The sequence below is a fragment of the Homo sapiens genome, chromosome 11 (genome assembly GCF_000001405.40).
Source record: "Homo sapiens chromosome 11, GRCh38.p14 Primary Assembly".
Classification (NCBI taxonomy): Eukaryota; Metazoa; Chordata; class Mammalia; order Primates; family Hominidae; genus Homo; species Homo sapiens.
In genome coordinates this window covers 128,677,857-128,697,724 of record NC_000011.10, presented here as the reverse complement: position 1 = coordinate 128,697,724, position 19,868 = coordinate 128,677,857, and the positions used below count along the sequence as shown (strand labels likewise).

The 19,868-nt window shown below is 51.2% G+C and overlaps 1 protein-coding gene and 2 long non-coding RNA genes across 11 annotated transcripts in view, besides 10 other annotated features; 2 read left to right on the top strand and 1 right to left on the bottom strand.

Moving 5' to 3' along the window:
* Window positions 1-12,593, bottom strand: part of FLI1 (Fli-1 proto-oncogene, ETS transcription factor) — a 128,136-nt gene extending 115,543 nt beyond the window's left edge. For 4 of the 9 annotated variants that reach the window (NM_001167681.3, NM_001271010.2, NM_002017.5 and 1 more), the window contains exon 1: window positions 3,449-3,653. Coding sequence is in view for 2 of the 9 variants with exons in the window: in NM_002017.5 (NP_002008.2) it covers window positions 3,449-3,466 (18 nt within the window). In the remaining 7 variants the exon portion in view is untranslated. Of the gene's footprint in view, window positions 1-1,245; window positions 1,266-3,448; window positions 3,654-4,581; window positions 4,664-4,924; window positions 5,243-11,023; window positions 11,191-12,352 lie in introns of those variants that run through there. The other 5 variants (NM_001440370.1, NM_001271012.2, NM_001440371.1 and 2 more) reach the window with 5 other exon arrangements.
* Window positions 1,702-6,053, top strand: SENCR (smooth muscle and endothelial cell enriched migration/differentiation-associated lncRNA). Its single transcript, NR_038908.1, has 3 exons — window positions 1,702-1,812; window positions 4,334-5,070; window positions 5,604-6,053. It is a non-coding gene; the product is annotated as a smooth muscle and endothelial cell enriched migration/differentiation-associated lncRNA (long non-coding RNA).
* Window positions 2,622-2,751: a silencer, noted in NCBI's record as "silent region_4062". NCBI's record gives its function as "represses an Ori minimal core promoter by ATAC-STARR-seq in GM12878 lymphoblastoid cells {active_cell/tissue: GM12878}" and the evidence as "EXISTENCE:reporter gene assay evidence [ECO:0000049][PMID:35858748]".
* Window positions 2,802-3,021: a silencer, noted in NCBI's record as "silent region_4061". NCBI's record gives its function as "represses an Ori minimal core promoter by ATAC-STARR-seq in GM12878 lymphoblastoid cells {active_cell/tissue: GM12878}" and the evidence as "EXISTENCE:reporter gene assay evidence [ECO:0000049][PMID:35858748]".
* Window positions 3,062-3,111: a silencer, noted in NCBI's record as "silent region_4060". NCBI's record gives its function as "represses an Ori minimal core promoter by ATAC-STARR-seq in GM12878 lymphoblastoid cells {active_cell/tissue: GM12878}" and the evidence as "EXISTENCE:reporter gene assay evidence [ECO:0000049][PMID:35858748]".
* Window positions 3,332-3,701: a silencer, noted in NCBI's record as "silent region_4059". NCBI's record gives its function as "represses an Ori minimal core promoter by ATAC-STARR-seq in GM12878 lymphoblastoid cells {active_cell/tissue: GM12878}" and the evidence as "EXISTENCE:reporter gene assay evidence [ECO:0000049][PMID:35858748]".
* Window positions 3,332-4,165: a biological region, named in NCBI's record as "CRISPRi-FlowFISH-validated ETS1 regulatory element GRCh37_chr11:128563455-128564187". NCBI's record gives its function as "regulatory_interactions: ETS1".
* Window positions 3,433-4,165: a transcriptional cis regulatory region, noted in NCBI's record as "chr11:128563455-128564187 region (GRCh37/hg19 assembly coordinates) targeted for CRISPR interference". NCBI's record gives its function as "negatively regulates ETS1 gene expression in GM12878 lymphoblastoid cells {active_cell/tissue: GM12878}" and the evidence as "EXISTENCE:mutant phenotype evidence [ECO:0000015][PMID:33828297]".
* Window positions 4,385-4,524: a silencer, noted in NCBI's record as "silent region_4058". NCBI's record gives its function as "represses an Ori minimal core promoter by ATAC-STARR-seq in GM12878 lymphoblastoid cells {active_cell/tissue: GM12878}" and the evidence as "EXISTENCE:reporter gene assay evidence [ECO:0000049][PMID:35858748]".
* Window positions 4,545-4,594: a silencer, noted in NCBI's record as "silent region_4057". NCBI's record gives its function as "represses an Ori minimal core promoter by ATAC-STARR-seq in GM12878 lymphoblastoid cells {active_cell/tissue: GM12878}" and the evidence as "EXISTENCE:reporter gene assay evidence [ECO:0000049][PMID:35858748]".
* Window positions 10,541-10,740: a silencer, noted in NCBI's record as "silent region_4056". NCBI's record gives its function as "represses an Ori minimal core promoter by ATAC-STARR-seq in GM12878 lymphoblastoid cells {active_cell/tissue: GM12878}" and the evidence as "EXISTENCE:reporter gene assay evidence [ECO:0000049][PMID:35858748]".
* Window positions 10,803-16,485, top strand: LOC101929538 (uncharacterized). Its single transcript, NR_135072.1, has 2 exons — window positions 10,803-11,498; window positions 15,266-16,485. It is a non-coding gene; the product is annotated as an uncharacterized LOC101929538 (long non-coding RNA).
* Window positions 11,498-11,637: an enhancer, noted in NCBI's record as "active region_5731". NCBI's record gives its function as "activates an Ori minimal core promoter by ATAC-STARR-seq in GM12878 lymphoblastoid cells {active_cell/tissue: GM12878}" and the evidence as "EXISTENCE:reporter gene assay evidence [ECO:0000049][PMID:35858748]".
* Window positions 16,486-19,868: the final 3,383 nt, after the last annotated feature.

The window sequence follows — 19,868 nt, the reverse complement described above, 5'->3', positions numbered from 1 at the left end:
GTTCTAATTTTCTGACCAATCTGTCCTGGTATGCCCATTCCCAAAAGCAAAGTTCAATTAATGTGTATCCAGCTAAGGTGGCAGGCTTTAAAACATTATTCCTGTGACTTGTGGCAAGGAGGTGCTTTGGCCCCATTTTCTAGATAAGGAAACAGATTCAAGAGGTGCCTTGCTATAAGGCACATGAAGTTAATTTAATGTGTATCCAGCTAAGGTAGCAGACTTTAAAAATTCTTCCTATGGCTTGTGGCAAGGAGGTGCTTTGGCCCCATTTTCTAGATAAGGAAACAGATACAAGAAGTGCCTTGCTATAAGGCACACAGCTACTAGGTAGCAGAGCTGAGAATGAACCCGGGCTTTCTGACTCCAAATCCACTGTTCATTCTCTATTTCCCACCTTCATTCACCATGTCTGTCTTCTCTGTCTCCCCATCTGTAATGACACCACGTGCACTGAGTCAGGCATTCATAGATAAAATTAACTGGATTCAACTGAAGCCAGCCTAAAATTAAGATGCAGTTTTTGAAACCAGGTCATTTCTTAAAGCAGCAAACAGTATCATGTGCTTTTTAACACTGATAATATCAGTGTGGGAAGCAGGGGCGTGGGTCGGGTGTTGTTTAATACTGCAAGTTAACCTGTCTGTGACAAAAGAGTAGCGTGGCTCCAGCAAATATTGCTTCTCCCAATGTGACGGTCAGAGCCTTTCCAGGAGCCGTTCTTGGAAAAGAGAAGAGAATATAATATGGAGGGACTTATAAGGAGGGCAACAAGATTGGGATTTTGTAATCACATAGAGTTGTGCAAATTATGCACAAAATAAAGGGCTTCTGTGAAGAAATCCAGACTTCCCTGGCTTCCTGCACCAAATACCACCTAAGTGCCAAGACCCACAGGTATTTTGAAATATAGACATGACTTATATTTGAGGAAGAACTATGCAGGTGCATAAAATCACATCCTAGAATCACTCAAACCTGATTTTTCCAGGCAGTTCAAACTGGAAATGGACACCCTGGATTTGTGTACACAAATTAGATTCTCTCTAGAGTGTCGTCAACCTCGATCAGTGTAGGGCTGGATTTAGTGCACATACAGGCAAGTGTTCTTGTAAACACATATGAGCACATTTTAGGCACTGAGAAGATTGGTTAGATACTACTGTAGAGGTAACCTAGTTCCACTGTTTCATTTTTGTGATGACTATGAATCTCAAACAGGCTTAATGGACGGTTCATTCTCACCAAGAGAGCAGAAGAATGCTGGCCTCTCTCCTGGTCCACTGTCCTCTCCAAGCACAGTATTTGAACTATTGTGGGAACAGGATCTGGAAACCCCAAGATCCAGAGGTCACATGCGAACAGAAAACTGTGGCTTTCACACAACTTAAACACCAACACACACACTAAAGGCTCAATCTTGCAGAATGCTTGGAGACTGAAGGTAGCTCTGTGGGGACTCAGCCTAGCCAGGTAACTTAGGTGAATGACAGGTTGCTCACAGGGAGGGTTTGGAGGAGCTCATGGCTCCTACCACCCACAAAAAAAGGAAGGACTTTCACTCCCATCCTTGGCCTGAAGTGTCAGGTTCCTGCTCTAAGCCTGTTCTCGAGGCCTGCCATGCCAATCCCTGTGTGTATCTAAAGAGGTTAGCACATCCTGGGTACACAGACCACAGCTTCCTCCTTTTGCTCAGGGCCTGTGCGTAGAGTTTAAGCAGTGTGGAGATATTTCTTCACTTTTCCTTAGGGTGTCCACATCAAGACCCTGAGGCCATCTTACCACCCTTCTGGATCAGAAGAGGCCTTCAGAGTAAGTGGTAACTGTCCTGATTGGGGCGAGGGAGTTTTCTAGAGGGGAGCATCTCATTACTAAACCCAGAAATACAGAGACACTTGCATGAACACATCAACAGGAAGCAGAGAAACAGGCATAAAATGGCCCAATGACCCCCACTCTCGGGTCTTTGCAGGAATCCCCTCTCACCTACTTCTCACCTACTCACTTTGGGTTTGAGGAACCCAGGCTCTTATAGGCTCTTATAGCTCCCTTTAACCCATCACAGTCAGTTATCTCATCTCCAGATTTGCAAGTTCCTTCGGTTGGTGTCTTTTACCTAAGTCAGCATATTTCAAACTTTCATAAAAAAAACTTAGAAAATAAAAACCACGACCCCACCCAGAAGATAAAAATCTCTTGAATTCTCTGAGCCCAACATCTTAGCCTTCTCTTGCTGAGCCCTGAGCAGGGAGTCGATTCTTTCGGGTTCTGGGGAATGGCGGGCTCTGCCAGTCCCCACCTCGCCAGCCTAATAGTTTTTCCAGACAGACTCCCGCTTGGTGTTGCGCGGCAGCCTCGAAGCTAACCCCTGGTCCCATTCATTCCCCTAGGTCCTCTAAGGCCCGTCACGTTAGGGGGTGTCCCTCCTCTCTGCTCCTGGCCCTACTTGGCGAACCCTTTCAGAGACAGCAGTCAACTTTTCTGAAGTGAGACGCGAACCCAAACCCTCACCTTTCCGCCTGGGTTGCACTTTGCAACCTAGACCCAGGCTTGGCGGCGGCGGCTGGGGTGGGAATGGCCGGGCGGGCGCGGGGCGCGGGCTCACAGCCGGCCCCTGCAACGGAGGCGGCTCCGAAGGACGCAGGACCCTTTCGGAGGCGACAGCTCCAGGAGCCCTGGTCCTGGAGCCGGCGCACGCCTAGGCGCGAAGGGCGGGGGCTCGGGGCGCTAGGGATCTGTGCGGACGGGGGCTGGGGAAGGTTCCCCGCCGGAGAGGCGGCGAGGCCGGCCCAGGAGTCCCGCGGAGCCGGCGGCTCTCCAGCGCCTAGAGCCGGGCGACTGAGTGCCGAGAGGAAGGGAAAGCGCTGACATGTAAACAGGGGCTTCCATCTGGAGGAGCCCGCTCAGATAGATCCCCCGACACACTCACTTGCACCCCTACCCTCGTGCAACGAGGCCACTTACCCACCCCAGGGCCCACCAGGCAGGGACCCGAGCCCGGGCGACTGCAGCCCCCGCCCCCGCCGTGTTCCGCCTCTGCGGAGAGGAAGCCCAGTGCCTAGCGCTGGGGCCACGGGAGCCCCGGGTGTCGGTGGGAGTGGTGGACCCCGAGGTCTCTCGCCCTTGACTCCGTTCCGTACCCTGGGGTCCCCCGGTTTCCCGCCGTCCCCTCCTGCAGCCCCGGCGGGCAGCGAGGTGGGAGGGGGGCCGGGGCTCCACTTTGGGGGCTGGGATTTCGGGGGAGGGTCGCCCTCAATGCGGGCGCCTGGCCGGCTGGCCCGCGAGTAGGACTCGCCACCCGAGCGCCGGAGGAGCCGGCGCGAAGCCGGGGCGCGGAGGGAAGGGAGAGAGGCCACGTCTTCCGGGACGCGGGCCCCGCACCTACCCGCCCGCCGCTTCGCCTCCCCGGCCGGTCCCCGCCGCCCGCGTCCGTTGCCCCGCCGCTTACCTTAATAGTCCCGTCCATTTGGCCAAGTCTGCAGCCGAGCCCCCCAATATTCCACACATTGACCCGGTTACAGCCTGACCTCGCAGCCCCTTCGGATTAGCCCGGCGCGGCCTCCCTGGCGCCCTGGGCCCTCCCTGCGTGCCCCCTGCGAGCGCCCTGCCCTCACTCCCCTGTGCACGTTTGTTGTTGTAGCGGAGCGAAAGAGACAGTTAACCGGATGAAACTTTTTTTTCAGCTAATTTTGGGAAGTGACTTCACTTTGCGAATCGGGGAGGAAGTCCTATCTCTCTCTCTCTCTCTCTCTCTCTCTCTCTCTCTCTCTCTCTCTCTCTCTCGCCTCGAGCTCTCCTCTCTCTTCTCTCCCCTCTGCTCTCCCTCGTCTTCCCTCCCCCCCCACACCCCCTCTTCCTCCCCTGCTGGTCCTGCTTTTCGCATCACACACTATATAAATATACGCGGAGATGCCCAGACACATTCATGCGCTGCGCACACAGGATACTTGCTCCTGGGAGATAAGAGCTAGCCGGGAACAATGACGGGGTCCACGCCCAGCGTCCGCGCCCTGATTCCCGAAGTCTGAACCTCCCCCCATCACCTTCCCCCAAAATCCAAAGCCAAAGACCTTTGGCTTCTTTGCTTTTCCTGAGGCGGTTGGCCGAAGGTGGCCCTCCTGACTCATTCACTTTCCGTTTCTTCCCACAGATACGTTCATTAATGCTTTTTCCAGCCGGAGACAAACTTTTTGGGGGTGGGGTAGGGGGGGTATGGAGGGAGAGTTGGCTAGGGCTGCGGGTAACCCAGCGCCTACTGCCGGGGAAGACTCGGACGAAAACCGAGGCAAACCAACCATTAAAAAGTGCATCCAATAAGAATTTTTCCACTCAGGCCCTCCGCTGCCGAGACGCGGCAGACTCCCAGAGCGGCTCACCCACTCATCGAAGCGGATTCTGGGCGGTTTCGGGCTGACCCGCGCTGTCAGGGCGCGGACTCCATTCCGGGCGCATTGTTAGGAGAAGGGGCCCCTCGGGGCGGCGCGCCTCGACCCTGGGCTCCCGGTGCCCGCAGAGGGCGGAGATCCGCGGCGCCCTAGGCCACCTATCCGCATCTTCTCGAGCCAAACCCCCAGCGCTTACCCGGACCCGACGGCCCAAGCACTGACTCCCAGGCAAGAGTCGCCCTTCCTGGTCCCCAGGGAACTGACACTACCGCGGGACGTTCCCTCTAGGACAGTCAGCAGGTCCCAGGAGCGCAGCACGCAACAGCGCAGAGCAGACCCAGACTTTTCCCGGGGTGAGACCCGGAGGCCCGCGCTCTGGACCGTCCTCCCTACCCAGCCTGGAGGCCGGCGTTCCCCGGCCCAACCCGGAGACCTCCCCGCCTCCCTCCTGGGCCGCCGCGCGCCCCAGTTGGAGCAGCCTCGAGGGGCTGGGCCCTTTCGGCCGGACTCCCTTCTCCCGGACATCCAAAACAGGTTACCTTGTCCACGCTCTCCGGACCACGCTTTGGACTTGCTCACTTTTATTTAAGAGTCCGACGGGGGAAAGAGGGAAAAAAAATCCAGAGGAGATCCAAGTCAATTGGAAGAAAAAATTTCAAAAGGGTGTCCACAGAGGCGAAAAAAGGTGACTTATTAATTCTTTATTTCTTCAGGAGCAATTGAGCCCGAGAGCTCACTCGTCTCCCTCCCTCCCCCTCCCTCTCTAGAAATTAGTCTCATCAATTCGGCTCCAATTTTGGGTTCGAATACAGACACGGGTCTGAACGTGACCAGACCTGGAGTGGCGGGTGCAGCCTGCCAGCAATTGAGACTTGGTGTGCGTGTTGGGGGTGGGGGTGGGGTGGATGGTGGGATGGGGGCCGGGCTGACTCCCCCCGCTCCTGTCTGCTTCTCAATCCAGGGGTCTGCTCCGGGGCTCCCCTGGGACCGCCACATCTGGTTACCGCTAGCGGGGTCAGTCCCCCCCTTTGCCTGGGGCCACCAGTTCTGGAGTTCAATTAAAAGAAATCAGGCTTAACCCTTTCCTCCCCGCGGCAGGCTGCCTGCCCTCTCACTCCTCCCTTCAGCGTTTCCACGTGCTTTCCAGAGAGGAAAGAGGTTAACGGGAAAGGAAGAATGAATTACATCCTTTCAAACCCCAAATTGTTTCCTTTTCAGCCCAGGCTCTACCGACCTTCAAACTACAACAGAGCTTTCAGGAGAATGCGGAGAGACGGCTTCCCACCCGGACCTCACCAGAAACCCGCACACCCCAGCCACATTGCTCCTCATTCAGCCAGAAAGGACTCCAACTCCACCACCAGGAGGCCCCCCTTCCTGGTGCTGGCCAGTTGCAGAGGCTGTTCATGGCATCCCACAGGTGGCGACTGCCCCCCACCCTCCTCCTAGCACTTTAGAGGGTCCCTCTGTGGCAGACACCATGGCTAGGTTTCTCTTTCCAACTCCTGTTGGTCTGGCAAGTGACAGATCATCTTCACTACATTAATCAGTAGTCACCCGAACATTCCTATACTGTCCCCCAATTCCTTTCAGCACCAGCTGCCTCCCCCACTGGAATTATTCAATATGGAACTAGATTAAATTGAAGACTTGCCCTTTAGTTTTTAACTGTGGAACTCCATCGCACTTTCTGTTTCTCCAAAGCTACGGCAATTTCATGGTTTTGGAGATGGGCGGGGGGTAGTGGAGAGCCTGGCACAGGCACCACTAGATGCATAGACACAGGCACCCCGGCCCTTTGGGACTCACAGACTGGCACTGGTGCCACTGTTGTTGGCGATTTTCAGCCCCCTGGGAGAAGCTCCTGTCCATTCACAGAGGTCTCCACCCAGAAAGAAGACCCCACCTAACTCTGACTAGATGCCTGCGGGAATCTCGGATTTCCTCCATCCAGTGTTGGCATGCCCGTAGGTCAGTTTGCCCCACTTTTATGTAACTCAGGGTTTGATGGTCAACTCCACTGCTACTGCTGCTTTTTTAAATCCTGAAAGGGGATGGGGGAAGCGCCCTAACCAAGCACAATAGTAAACAAGTCTACCCTGTTTAATGTGGTTACCACCAGACATCTGGAAAGATGGTTTGATCCTGGCAGCTCACATTGTTTTCACGAGCAGCCAAAGGGGATATTTTGAATGTTTGCATTGAGACAAATTGATAGAGAGCCTGCGGTGAGGGCCTACAAATGAAAACTGTCTTGTGTTAGTGGGGCAGACCTCCCCTTCCCTCTCCTCTCCCTCCTCTCTTCTCTCCTTCCTCTTTCCTTAGTCTCTGGGCCCAGCTTGGGGAAGGCTGCCCCTGCCCACACACTTGTGCACACCCTCTTTCCTGGCTTACCATGGCTCCAATGGCCTCGCCCTTTCCCAGACTGGGCAGAGCTGCTGAACAGGAGCTGGTATGAGTGCCATCGGCGACAGCTCACTTTCCAGCAGCTCGGGGCTGGTTTTCAAGTCAGAGGCAGCTCACAGCCAAGGAAGCTCTTCCCAGTATTTAAAACAAAAGCTACCAACTGGAGAAAAAAATGTCCCAACAACAAAACAGCCCACCACATGTTTCCAAGTCTGGGGTCACTTACAGAAACCGTGCACATGGGCGTGAATACTCAGGAAATATTTGGATTTGGAGCATTTTCATTTGGAACGCTGGTGAGACGACTTGCCTCGCACCATTCGCACTTGACAGTATTTTCAAAGATGCGGAAGTCCTGCTTCCCCCGGGAGGGGAGCGGCGGGTCGAAACGTGTCTTGGCTCGCTCAATGTCAGCCCTTTTGACCCGGTCAAGACTTTCCAGACACGGGCTTCCCGGGCTTCTTCGGCCCCAGACTGGGTTTGGGGTGGGCGGACCTGACGATCTGAGCCTGGTCCCTGGGGTAACAGACCCAGGGGTGGCTCCGTCACTTGAAACTCCGCAGGATGCCAGGCCTGGCAGAATGTCTCGGGCCGCTCCTCTCCCTCCGTCCTTCGTCCTCCCCTCCCATGCCCCTCTGGTCCAGCGAGGCCGCAGCGGGTATCCGAGCTGGCAAAGGGGGAGGAGGAGAGGGCGGGAGAAAACCGGAGGGGTGGGCGGGCAAGCGCCAAAACTCCAGACTGCACAAATGCAGCTTCAAGTGTCTGGCCTCTCGCTCGAGGCCATAATTAATTTGAGATTTATTTTTATTGGAGAACTCGAGTCTCGTCTGACCTTAGCCAAACAAGGCAGCTCAAGCCGCCCCTGGATGCGCTTGAATGCCGGGGAATATTTCTGCAGGAAGGCTCTGCAGGCGCGCCTGCTTTGAATTTGTTTCTCAGACTTCATCTACTCACAGAGTGAAGGAAGATTTAGAGCCTCTGCTCGCCTGGCCCGCTCCCCACGCTGGTTCTTGCCTTAGCGCTGAGCGGGTTCAGAACGCTACGTGGGAGGCCGCGGCGGCGGGAGGGCCGGGGGCGGGCGGGTTGGGGAGGAGGAGGGTCTCCGAGCCCCCAGACCACGCGGCGTCGCTGAGGAAACCCCGAGGGAGTCCAATCCTGACCAGAGAGAGCAGGCTGACAAGAGGTGGAGACCAGCCAGGTGTCCAGACCCTCGCCCAGTGGCGGATCCAAGATGGGGCCGTTGGGATGGGGCCAAGGTGGGTTCAGCTTCTCCAATCTCCATCACACCCCCTCCTCCCAGCCGCCCCAAACAGCATTCATTCTAAGAACAGATCCGTGGTCTTGAAACTCAGCTTCGAGACCCGCCGGCAAGACCACCTTAGGGGTGGGTCACTGTGAACATTCTGGGGCTAGCAACCTCCTTTCGTCCGGGGGACAGGCGGAAGACGGCATCTCCCTCAGAATGCAGCCTGGGCCCAATCCTCAGGCTGATAAGTGAAGGAGTTAGAGCAAGGAACCTGGGGGGTACACAAGGAGAAAAAAAGGAGGACCCTGCCAGTCCTGCGGGGGTGTTGGGCGGAGGACGGGCGAGAAGCTTTCAGATATATGCTCTGCGCGCTAGGAGAAAGTGCTTTGCACTCCGCGGGCATCGTGCAGGTGCGGGTCAGGGTTACTCCACTGGGTCTCCTGGTCCCTCCACGCCTCCATCCTTAAACAAAATATCAGGAGCGGAAGTTCCAGTTTGAGGACTAGCGCACCTAGGTTTGAATTCTAGCTCTACACTTACTAGCTCTGAGGGCTTGAACAAGTTACTTAACCTCCCTGTGCCTCACTGTCCTCATCTGTACAATGGGGTTATAATAGGACTTATCTCAAAGGGCTGTTGTAAAGACGAAATAAGCCTTTAGAACTTGCCTGGCAGCCAGCACAACTTTGTCATTACTCTATGTATCTTGGCTCTGCCCCTCACATCACATTAACCTCACAATGCCTCAGTTTCTCGCCTGCAGAATGGACTACCTCCTAAGATTGTTGTTAATATTAAATGAGCTAATACAGACACAACGCTTAGAGCAGCGGCTGGCGAAGGTAAGATCTGAGAGGTAGCTATGAATGTCGTTGCGGTTATCCATCAACTACTGCATGTCAGTGTCTCCAAGTGTCACCCTCTTCCCTCTCTCCCTTTCCCTTGTTCTTCCCTGCCCCTTTCCTACCTAAAGCGCTCTTATGTGGGCAATTACCTCCTTTACCTCTCTGTGGGACCCCTCAGAGCCCAGACCACTGTTCAGATCGTGACCCCGGTGGAGCCGGCACCCTTGGCCCCTAGGGGCCAGGCTGGGCTCCTCCCTCATGGGGCCTGGGCGCCTGGGCCTGCGGTGTTTGTCAACAACTCCTGAGCCGGGTGCCTGCCGGACAACGGCAGGGGCTTGGCAGCCTGCAACTGTTTGTGCCCCTCTGGCAAATGTTCGATGGAGGGAGCCGGTGGAACAGACTCAAGATTGTCCCTGCCACGCAGACCTTTCGCCGCCATCAATGCACCCCTTTGTGCAACAATACAAACTTTGTGGCTGCTGAAAAATCCATTTTTCCACCTTGAAAAGAGCTCCTGCAGCGAGCAGCTTCTCTGGCGGCCCACAGCTCCCAGACTGCCGTCTCCTCGCCTCCGCTTTGTCCCTGACCCGTGGCCTGAGTCGGGTTCCGGGGCTCCCACGTGCCCCTCTAGGGCTCCTCATCCCTGAGGTCCTGGGTCCCGGGGTGTGTATGGACTCGAGGGTTCCTATGAGTGGGAGAGAGACTGCAGCTCCCCTCCCCGGGGCCATTTACAATCCTCAGTGCAGAGCTAGAAGTGAGAGCTCCTCTTGCCGGGCTCGGGTACTCCGAGTGGTGGGAGTACCCGAGTACTCTTCCTAAACTTCTCAGGAAAACTGGGGACAGCGAATCCGTGCGCGCCTTAGTCTAACCTTAAAGTATGCTCTGTAACCTCCTGGGAGTCATTTTGCTATCCATCCATTCACTGGTTATTGCTACATGAATTACACTGTATTTCATTCATTCATTCACTCACTCAGGCATTGTCAATGAAACACCCCTTTTTGGGCCAAGCCTCTAGGATTAGGCCTTCCCTTCCTGAAATGACGAGTGACTGCTTCACACGGGAAGATGCGTCCGTGTGACAAGTTTTCCTTTAGAGAGATCTGAGGAGGGTTGGACGCATAATTGGCAATCCTTGGACAGGACCCGAGAGTCTGCATCCCATCACACAGGGCCAGGGACTGCCCTGGCATTTGCCCGACACTCGAGGGAGCTCAGCTGGGCCTCACTGACCGGTCTGGGGAGCACTTGGAGGCGGGGCTTCAGGATGGGGAGGGCGGGGCAGAGATCTGGGAAAAGTATGCGGGTGTTTGCAGCACTGCGGAGAGTCCTTCCTCCTCCGCTCTCGGACTGACTCAGATGGTCCTAAGCTTTGGGTCCCTACTCGGAGGGCGTCAGGTCGCGGCTGCATGGCGTGAGGGGACCCAGTCACCGCCCCTCCCATGAGCAGGGCCTCCTGGTGCGCACTCCCCGCCCCACCCAGCCAGCGGATTTTCATTTAACTTGTAACCCAGGTGTCCCAGCTTCAGTTTGTTTACATTCTTGGAAACTGTTGTGGAAAAGAAAAAAAAAAACCAAAACCCTTCGATGTGCTGTCAAATATAGCAATCTGCGCTTCCGAAGGGCGGGCGGGGCCAAAGAAGGTGGGCTCGAGGACTGAGCGCGTGTCTCACCTGTAGGAGAAGCGCGTGGCGCCCGCATACCCGCACACAACCCCACATACACACGCCCACATGCAAACAGGCGCACGCATGCACACATGCACAGACGCGCTCACACACAAGCGCGCGCACGCGCTTAATGCAGGGAACACGCTGTGCGCCAGCCGCTCAGAGCACCCCACCCGTTGGGACCTGACGCGGCGAGCTGCTCGGTCTTCCTGCACAGGCTTCGCCAGGCTCTCCTGCTCCAAGTTTCCCAAACACTAGCCGCCAGGAGCGTTGCTTCTCAACCTAGGATTCCCGAGGGTCTGTGCCACTCTCATCTGGCCAGGAGCGCCCTAGCTTGAGATCCACGAGCCGAGAGTAGGGCCCACTTCCACCCCTACCCCTTTTTCCCGGGGAAAGGGAAAAGGGACCATAGGCCCGGGTGGGGTAGAAGCTGGGGGTCATCACCTGTTTAAAGACGCTGCCATGTCTTACCTTGATGTAAGACGACGTGTCGGGGACTGTCTGAAACATCGTGGGTAGCTAAGGGTCGGGAACGCCCAAGAACCAGCCTGGGAGGGAGAAGCCTCGGTTACCCGCGAGTGGAGCGAGGGAGAGACGGTGGGATGGTGATGAAGTGGGGATGCAGATGGAGAGACTGTAGGGGTTTGGGAAGCTCAGATCCGCCTAGTCCGGCGAGGGAGGGTCCGAGTGGTTGGGTGTTGAGCACTCTCCCTACGCCTCAGTCCCGTCCCCGGGCTTCAGGCCAGGGGACGGTGAGAACTGAGAGCCACCTCACACCATTGGGTCTCCTCCCTACAGTCCTTTTACTCTCCCCTGCCCGAAATCAGACTGCCGCCTCCCCCAGGGCCTGGGCAGTTTCGAACTGGGGATGCCCGCAGCTTGTTCTGGAAACCAGGATGTTCTAGTTCTTGGTGCGTGTTGAGGAGAGAACGCGACCAGGACAGAGGTAGGACTCCCCTTTCTTGCAGGCTGAGGAGCAGAAGCTTACAGAGCTGCCAACACTCGCCCCTCAGTGCACAGACCTGCTTGACTTCCTCACCACCCTTTCTCTGCCAGCATCCAGCTGCGCTGCTCTTCCCTGCTGGTGGCCCGGGGACGGAGGAAGACTAACGCAAGGTTAGGGAGGTCTGTGGAGGCCCCTTAGAAAATAGGTTTTTGGGAAGAGACTGCTACAATGACTGTCAGGTCCTCATTTTTAGTGGCAGGAGAGTCTTACTTAGGTCTGATAATTTGGGCTGGAAGGCGCAAAAGCCACCCTAGGTTGCCAGGTGCCTCTGCGTGAGTGGGTCTCTCCCTGACTTAGCCCAGTCTGGCGGCCGTATCTCTCCTCTTCCTTTCCTTCCTTCTCTTAACCATCTTTAACGTGGCGGCTCACAGCTTCTCTGGCAGCCAATGTGTTTCTGATAAAGCACTTTTCTCCCCACTAACAAATTCCAGCTTTTTTTTTTTTTTTTTTTTTTTTTTGGCTCCTCAAGCCACAAGAGAACACACACTAGTGCAGGGACAAGGTATATTCCTCGGGCCCAGAGATTCCCTTCGCCGCCTCCGCCCAGGCGCACTTTCTTCAGTCTCTCCCCCAACCCCAGCGACCCCACCGGTCCCCTACATTTTTTTTTTTGAAAGTCGAAGTGTAATTTACAAGAAAACAGAGAGGAAAGAAGGAGAAAAAAGAAAGCCGGAGAAAGGAGAAGACCCCAAAGTCCCACATTTCCCGACTGCAACCAGAACAAGCAGCGAGACACACTGAGGCGCCCCGACCCTGCATCGCCCCCAGAGGATCGGACGCAAGTGGGCACTCACCTTAGGCACCCTTTCCTGCTAAGCCCGCAGGAGCGGAACTCCGGGCAGCTCCAGGATGTGTTAGTTCTTGGTGCCTATCCTGTGTGCCCAGAGCTCCCAGAACCCAGCCAGTGAGGAGTTAAACCTGCTGCGTGCCTGGAGTCAAAGTTTGCCTCTCTCTAGGGCCTGCCCACAAGCAGCCTCAGCTCAGGCGCATCCTGGGGGGCTGCAGGAGCCGCTGTGCAGGAGCTATGCGTGCACTGAAGCTTTCCCCTTCGCTGCCTCCCGCCAGCTCTCTGGGTCCCACTCCCTCTTCCTTTCTCTTTCCCTTTCTTGTAATTTGATTTCCGCTTTCTTATCAATATTCCAACTGCTGTCTGATGAATTATTCTTACAGGACAGCCACCAGTTTGCCCCCAGCTGCTTTTCTAGAAACCACTCGGTGTTACTAGGAAACTTTAAAGAACGCTAGAAATCATGAACGCATATCATAAATAAAGACATACAACTAAGCGAAGCCAAAAGAAGACATGCAGACCCAGGCTTCTTTGAGCTGATTATTTATTCTTTGAAAGTTCCAAATTATCGATATGCAAGTAATCATTCCTCAAACTTGATATCGGTGAAGTTATCTTTTACTTTTTGAGCCCTTATGTTTTTCTTTCGTAAGGGTTACTCCTTCCCCTTATTGAGTCCTATTGCGCCCGCCCTCCCAACCACCACCGAGAATACACCTCTTCTTGATCCACTTTTTCTAGGCAGTATCTATAAGAGCAAAGTGGATTGCAAATGCCATAGAAATAGCCATATTATGAGGTTTTAATTTAAAAAACCTCAAACATTTAAAAGCATTCTTGTTAAGGAGTTGTTTCTGGGTTGTCAAATTTGTGTTTTCTTAAAATTTGGAACGTTGCTCATTCTTTCACTCGAATGGGGCTCAGATTTCTGAGTCAATGCTCATATGGGCCCTTTCCACTGCCCAATCCCAGGGCCATTACCCACAAAATAGAATCTGCATTGCTGAGTTGGTTGTGCTTTGGGGTGGGCGGCACCCCACCCCTCACTCTCCTCTGTGGATCTCTGGCAACAGGGAGTTGTTCACAGTTGTTTCTAACCTGGGTGTGGGGGGGGGGGCAGGGTGGCAGGGGAGAGGTGACAGGTAAGGATGGAGATGGGAGTATGTCAGTTAGCAAAAGCAAACCCCACAGCTTCCTGCACCACTCTGAGTTGGCTTCTGTTTCTCAAGCGTTCTCTTCCTTCCTTCTTGGGTACCCAGATCCCTGACTGCTTTGCTCTGGAACCTTCGAGAAAATTTATTTAGTACCTGCTCCCCCTACCCCCTTCCCCAATTGGCTCTGGACATTTCTGACCAAAAGGCAATTAGTAGGATTCCATTTCAGGAGAAAACACACCTATCATCCAGATCTCCCCACGTGGGGGGTATGAGGGCTGGCGGCAGGGTTATTCGTTATTTCCTTCTCAACAATATCCCGATTTTTCTCTCCCATCCCTCCCCCAGAGTTCCACATATTGAAACATTTTGCTGCTTAATAAGAGCAGCCGGGAGAGCAATGAGGTGAAAGGCCAGCCTGGGACTGTGACTGGGGCTGCCTGGGCTGGGCACAGAGGGCTGGGCTGCCCCCCGCCCCACATTCCTGACCATTGCTTAGGAAAACAAGACAGGGGGCCTGGGGAGGGGGGGGGCCTGAAGGACTAGAGCCACTGCCCCAGATTTTTGTTCTTGGGATTCTTGGGGAGATCATCTTCCCTCCCAAAGGAACAAGCATGCTATTCCAAACAACTGCAAATAAAACAGTAGATGCTCCTATATCAGATAATGCATCCTACCCTGATGTCATGCATTTTGAAGATAGATTATCTTTAGGAAACCTGGAGACTTGAAAATGAAGGCTTCAGCTGTATTAGAGAAAGTGAGGACTAAACAAATTGTCGAATATCTCACCATCCTCAGTTTTTCCCCTTCTTCCCTCCCTCCCTCCCTCCCTCCTTTTCTTCTTCCCTCCTTCCCTCCTTCCCTCCTTCTTTCCTTCCTTCCTTCCTTCTTTTCCTGAGAGAGATTTCTAAGAGATCACTTGGGTACATCCTTCTAGATTTGAAGCTCTTCCTTCTTCACATTTTCACAGTTGTTATTGCATCCTTATTTGTAGATGTATCTGTTTAATGTTTGTCTCCTTCCAATACCTTGTAAGCTCCCTGAAAGCAAAAGTTGAGCTTGTTTTGTTCACAGCTAGACACCCAACGTTCACACTGATATCCTTAGGCAGAGAAGTGGAACAACTATTAAGCTACCTCCCTTCTGTCTAACCAATAACTCATAACAGAAATATAAAACAAACAAAACAAAAGTGTCACATTGTTATTAAGGAAAAACTGACAGGAAAGTTTTACCTGAGTGATACTGATTCATTTTCTGCTTTGCAGGGAGGGTTACATAAAATCAGTGCTCATGGGTCTGCTTCATTTGTGCATAAATGGTTTAACTAGAGAGATCATGCCCCTTCCAAGCACCCTGGGAGATGGTCACAGATGGAGAGGCCAGTGTCCTAGGCTTTGTACGAAACTCATGTGTGTGTGTGTGTGTGTGTATGTGTGTGTGTGTGTCCTATTTCCCATTCTTCCTGTGATTTTAGAAGCCAGAATGGGTGCTCATTCCAAGGGTTAGGCAAATGATCAAAATCTTGGTGGTCTTAGGAAAACAGATGAGCTGAGAATGAACTGAGGAAGAATCTGAAGTTCCTTTCAAACAGGGTTTAAGAAATGGACATACACCTGGAAGCCTGCTGTGTGTGTGTATGTGGTGGGGGGTGGTGATGGGAAGGGTTGTGACATGCTCACTGGGAAAGTGAGCCCTAGCCACCCAGTCCAGGGTCAGGGGTGGGGTGAGAGTGGAACCCAGGCTATCTTATTTTCCAGGAGGATATGGCCAACTCCCTTTGTCACCTGGAGCCTTCAATTCACCGGAAGAAAATTGCTGAAATTGGCAACAGCTGCCATGAAACAGGAGCAAGAGAGAGGCAGCTGGGGGCAGGGAGGACTCATTAAAGCCAACTTACCCCTCAAAAGGGAGAATGGGGTGGGGAGGGGGTTCTTGCCCCACAGTTATGCTCCCTCGCCAGCCTATACCAAGCTGCTTCCCTGGGCCATAGATTTGCAATGCAGAGCCTGGGTAGAAAGAGACTCTCGTGTGGAGGTTACAGCAGCAAGAGATTGGAATCCAAGAAGGGCACTCCAGTAGGAGAGCAGGAGAAGATATCTGGGCAGTGCCCCTCTGAATCATCCATGCACTCCATCATTCTGAGCAAGACAATTAGGACTTAGCTTCCTTCTTTGGCAAATGAGAGGGCTACATTATATCATCATGAAATACTTTCAAATTTGAACATGCTATACTTCTGTAAGATTATTTAGCCCGGGGAAAGGATATGAACATAAGGCAAATTAATGTTCTAGGATTAGGAACTTTGGGTTCCAGTCTTGGTTGTGCTCCTGATGACGGGCACTATGGGCTGAATTTTATCACTTCCAAATTCACAAGTTGAAGCCCTAAGCTCCAATACTTCAGAATGTGACGCTGATGGGATACAGGGCCTTAGAAAGGGTGAACAAGGTAAAATGAGATCATAGGGTGGGCCATTATCCACTATGACTGGTGTCCTTATAAGAAGAGGAGATTAGGTCACAGACATGTGCGATTACAGAGGAAAGCCCGTGTGAGCACACAGTGCAAAAGCAGCCACCGACTAGCCAAGAAGGGAGACCTCAGAAGACATCAACTTGCTGATAACTTGATCATGGACTTTCAGCCTCCAGAACTTCGAGGAAATCAATTTCTGATGCTCCAGCCACGAAATCTATGGTACTCTGTATGGCAGCTCTAGTAAACCAATACAACTGTGGAATAATATTTTGCCATGATTTGGTTTCTCCAAGTAAGTAAAAGGGAATAAACAATGGTGACTCGTTTCACTCAACCCTTCTAGAACCTACTCTGATGATCAGTATCTATTATGAACCCACAATGTGTTTTGTTTTGTTTGTTTTGCTTTGCCATGTGTGGCTTTGTGTATAAAGCAAAGCAGTGCTCCTGTCTTTATGGTTCTTTTCACTCCACATAAAATCCAAAACCACCCTGAGTTTCTGCCTCCTTTGTGGATTTTCTATTCTTTTTGCTTTTAATGATGGTGAAGGAAGAAAGCCACTTCCTGTGCTTCAAACAAGCAATTTCAGATTTTAAAGGGTAGCCAACAGGGAGTCACCCTCCTTATCTCTCATTATCTGCATCCTCTTGTAGCCCTTGACAGGCTGCAAACCTAGATTGAGCTCCCGGGCATTTCAGGGAGAGAGAAGGGGTGGGAAATCTAGTGAGCGAGATAAGTTCAGGAAATAGAGGCAGTAACTAGAGCAAGGACCATGGAAAGAATGATCAGACAGGGGTCGCTTTGGATTCCAGGATGTGTGTGACCTTCGATTCCCATCATGTACCAACACACACACACACACAGGCAGAGAGAGAGAGAGAGAGAGAGAGAAAGAGGCACACTCATACATATCCCAGGTGTAGAAGAAAATCCTTGGATGGGTAGCAGGAGGGGCAAAAGAGGGGCTGCTGGGGCGAGGGATCTGCCATTCATACCGGTATAGCAGAAAAGTTCTCCCACAAGCAAACAGATTTACCCTCCTCCCATTCATAAATCAAGCATATGTAATGTGCCCTAGGATTGAGGATGCAGAGGTCAGGTTATTGGAGGACAAATAAGATTATGCATTAAAGCAAAGAGGAGTTCTAAGACCAAAGTTTTATGTACTGTATTTTCATCCCTCCAACTCCCTTAGCAAATTTTTCTTCTCAAGTTTGTCTCTTCATAAACATCAATTAATTTATTATATTTTATTACATAATCTCTGAGGCCTATTCTAGCTTAAAATTACATAATTCTAAGGAGCACATTGCTAGTTTCATCTATGGTTATATATTTTTTCAGGTTATTGGGAAATATTCTCCATTGCTGCTCCTGTTTAAAAACTATGGAATTAATCCTTTGCAATAATTTCAGTATGATTCTTAAGAGTGGAATGCTTTTTCTGATGGAATCAGTCATTCATTCGTGTGTCCTGGGGAGAAAGGAGTGAAAAGGACCTGAGTAATATCACTTTGCTATTGATGAGAAGGCAAAGATTTGCAAAGATTGCTATCTTTTCTTTATCAATCTGGCCTTACTCAACCCTGAAAAGGAGGAAAGAGAACAGAATTAAAAGAAAGCATAAAGTTTGGGACTCCTTGTAGAAAAAGCATGACATTACAGTTTGATGGGAAATGAATCAGCCACTTTAAAGGATCCAAAACATAATTGCATAAGTGGGACAACTGGTCCACCCATTGAGACTTTGAGGTGGAAGATGATTGTGTTAGTTGGAAAAAACCCCAAATCCTTTGGGACACCTTTGAGAAAAGTGCCACAGAAATACAAAACATACTGTAGCCACTGAGGTTAATAGAGAACAACGTTAACCAGAGCATAGATGCCATTATCTTTTTCCTCTTCCTTTCTTTCTGACCTTAATTTAAAAAAAAGAGAGAGAGAGAAAGAAGAAAGAAAGAAAGAAGAAAGAAGGAAAGAAAGAAAGAAAGAAAGAAAGAAAGAAAGAAAGAAAGAAAGCTTGCTAGAAGTCAAGCTGCACCAATGCCAATTACATTTGACATAAAGGTTTTAGGTATATTTCTTAATGGGGCTGGTAGGAGTGGGGTGAAGCATGAGGAGATAGTTGAATGAGAAGGTATACATGATATCCCTAATGCTAGTGCACTAGTGCTTAAGGACAGTCTTTGGAGAACTGAGATATGTTTGGTCAAGTGCTTCTAACTTCTAGAGAGAAAAGATGCTGCATAAATACTTGTCTGATTAAATATTGGTCTGATGTCTGATGTTTGATTATTATTATTACCCTCAACTTTGACAGACAGGGGACAGTGGGGTCCCAGAGAGACAGCATGACCACTCAGTAGTACTTCAATGCATTTCACAGCTGAACACGAAACAATGTGGCCCACTAAACACAATAAACACTGGGGACTCACAGCCTTGAGAGTCCCTCTGAGGGAACCTGGCTTCCCTAGATAAGAGATCAAATGTAAAGGACATGTTTTTATTTTCTTAGTGTGTTTTAAAATCAGATTTTGTGAGCTGAAGTTTCTCCTAGATTTTTGTTGGAGGGAAAGAGGGGCATAGATGTTTATCCAAATCCTATTTTCTCTTTTTAAAAGATTAGACACACAGACGAGCTGAGTATTTGACTCTGAAATTTTCATTGCTTCAAAGTGATTGGTAATGTGGAGACAGAAAGAGTAGGAAATTATAGTTCCCTGTCTATATACATCCTGAAGCTGCTTCTTTAGGTGATAATTATCAGGGGTTCTACTTTACAGAAATTGACTAGAAGAGGAGGCGTAGAGTGAAGTGGACCCTGAAGAAATAGTCTTCTCCTTCACCAACCCTTACCACTCCCCTCCCCAAGCTCTGACCAGAGAGTGAGTTGGCCTGGGTAGCTCCTAGAGCGTGCTTGATTAAAAATTGAGCTAATTCAACATGTCCTTTATTCTCTCAGCTTGCCACTCGCTTGACTGTCTTGTTCTTTTGAGGTCTCTATCCTTTTCATTCCACTAAATGTTTTACTTAAGTGTCATCAGTAGTAAAACATCAGAGCCAAGAAGAGTGTTCCTACTGAAAATGTCACAGGTCAACAGAGGCAACAGTCGAGTAGGTATCATGACTTCAGCTATTAGCTTAGAGAACCAGACACCGCAATCTTTTTTACAACCCCAGCATCAGGTAAGCCCGATGTGCAGTCAAGGCAAAGAGTGAAGTTCTCTTAATTTGCTAAAGAAAGGATATCACTCAGGGTGAATAGCCAGCAAGTTGTTTGGAATGGTTGTCGTCTGATGACTGGCATATTTCAGTTGCACAGTTCTTTCCACTTGGAACCAAACTGAATTTTGGCCTGCATCCCTACAAGAGAAACTGGCCATGACTGTGGGGCCCAGAACCCCATGAGATGATAAGCACTCACAACCTTGAGCACTTATCTCCTCCTGTATCTGGCTTTCTTGCATTTATATAGTAAATCGGGAAATCTCACCACAACAGGCTTTCCTGTGAGGAGGCTGGCATTTCCTGCCTGCCCCAGTGGGGACAGAAATGAAGGGAACACATTGCTGGTGTTTAGGCCCTCTCACTTCAGCTCCCTTGCAACTGCTGGGTAGGACAGTGGCACCCACCAAGATCAACAATGATGTGAGTCAGAGCTAAGGAGTGGGTTATTTTCCAGGCACATTTTTAATATGATATTCTAACATATAAAATAACCTCCATCCCACAGTTACTTGTTTGAATATACACACACAGATGCAGATATACAGATTTACCATATGTGTGTTCCATGGGTACACAGCTGACATTAGTGATGCAGCTGATATCAAGTATATCAGTGGCATCAATTAATAATTGGTTATATCACAATT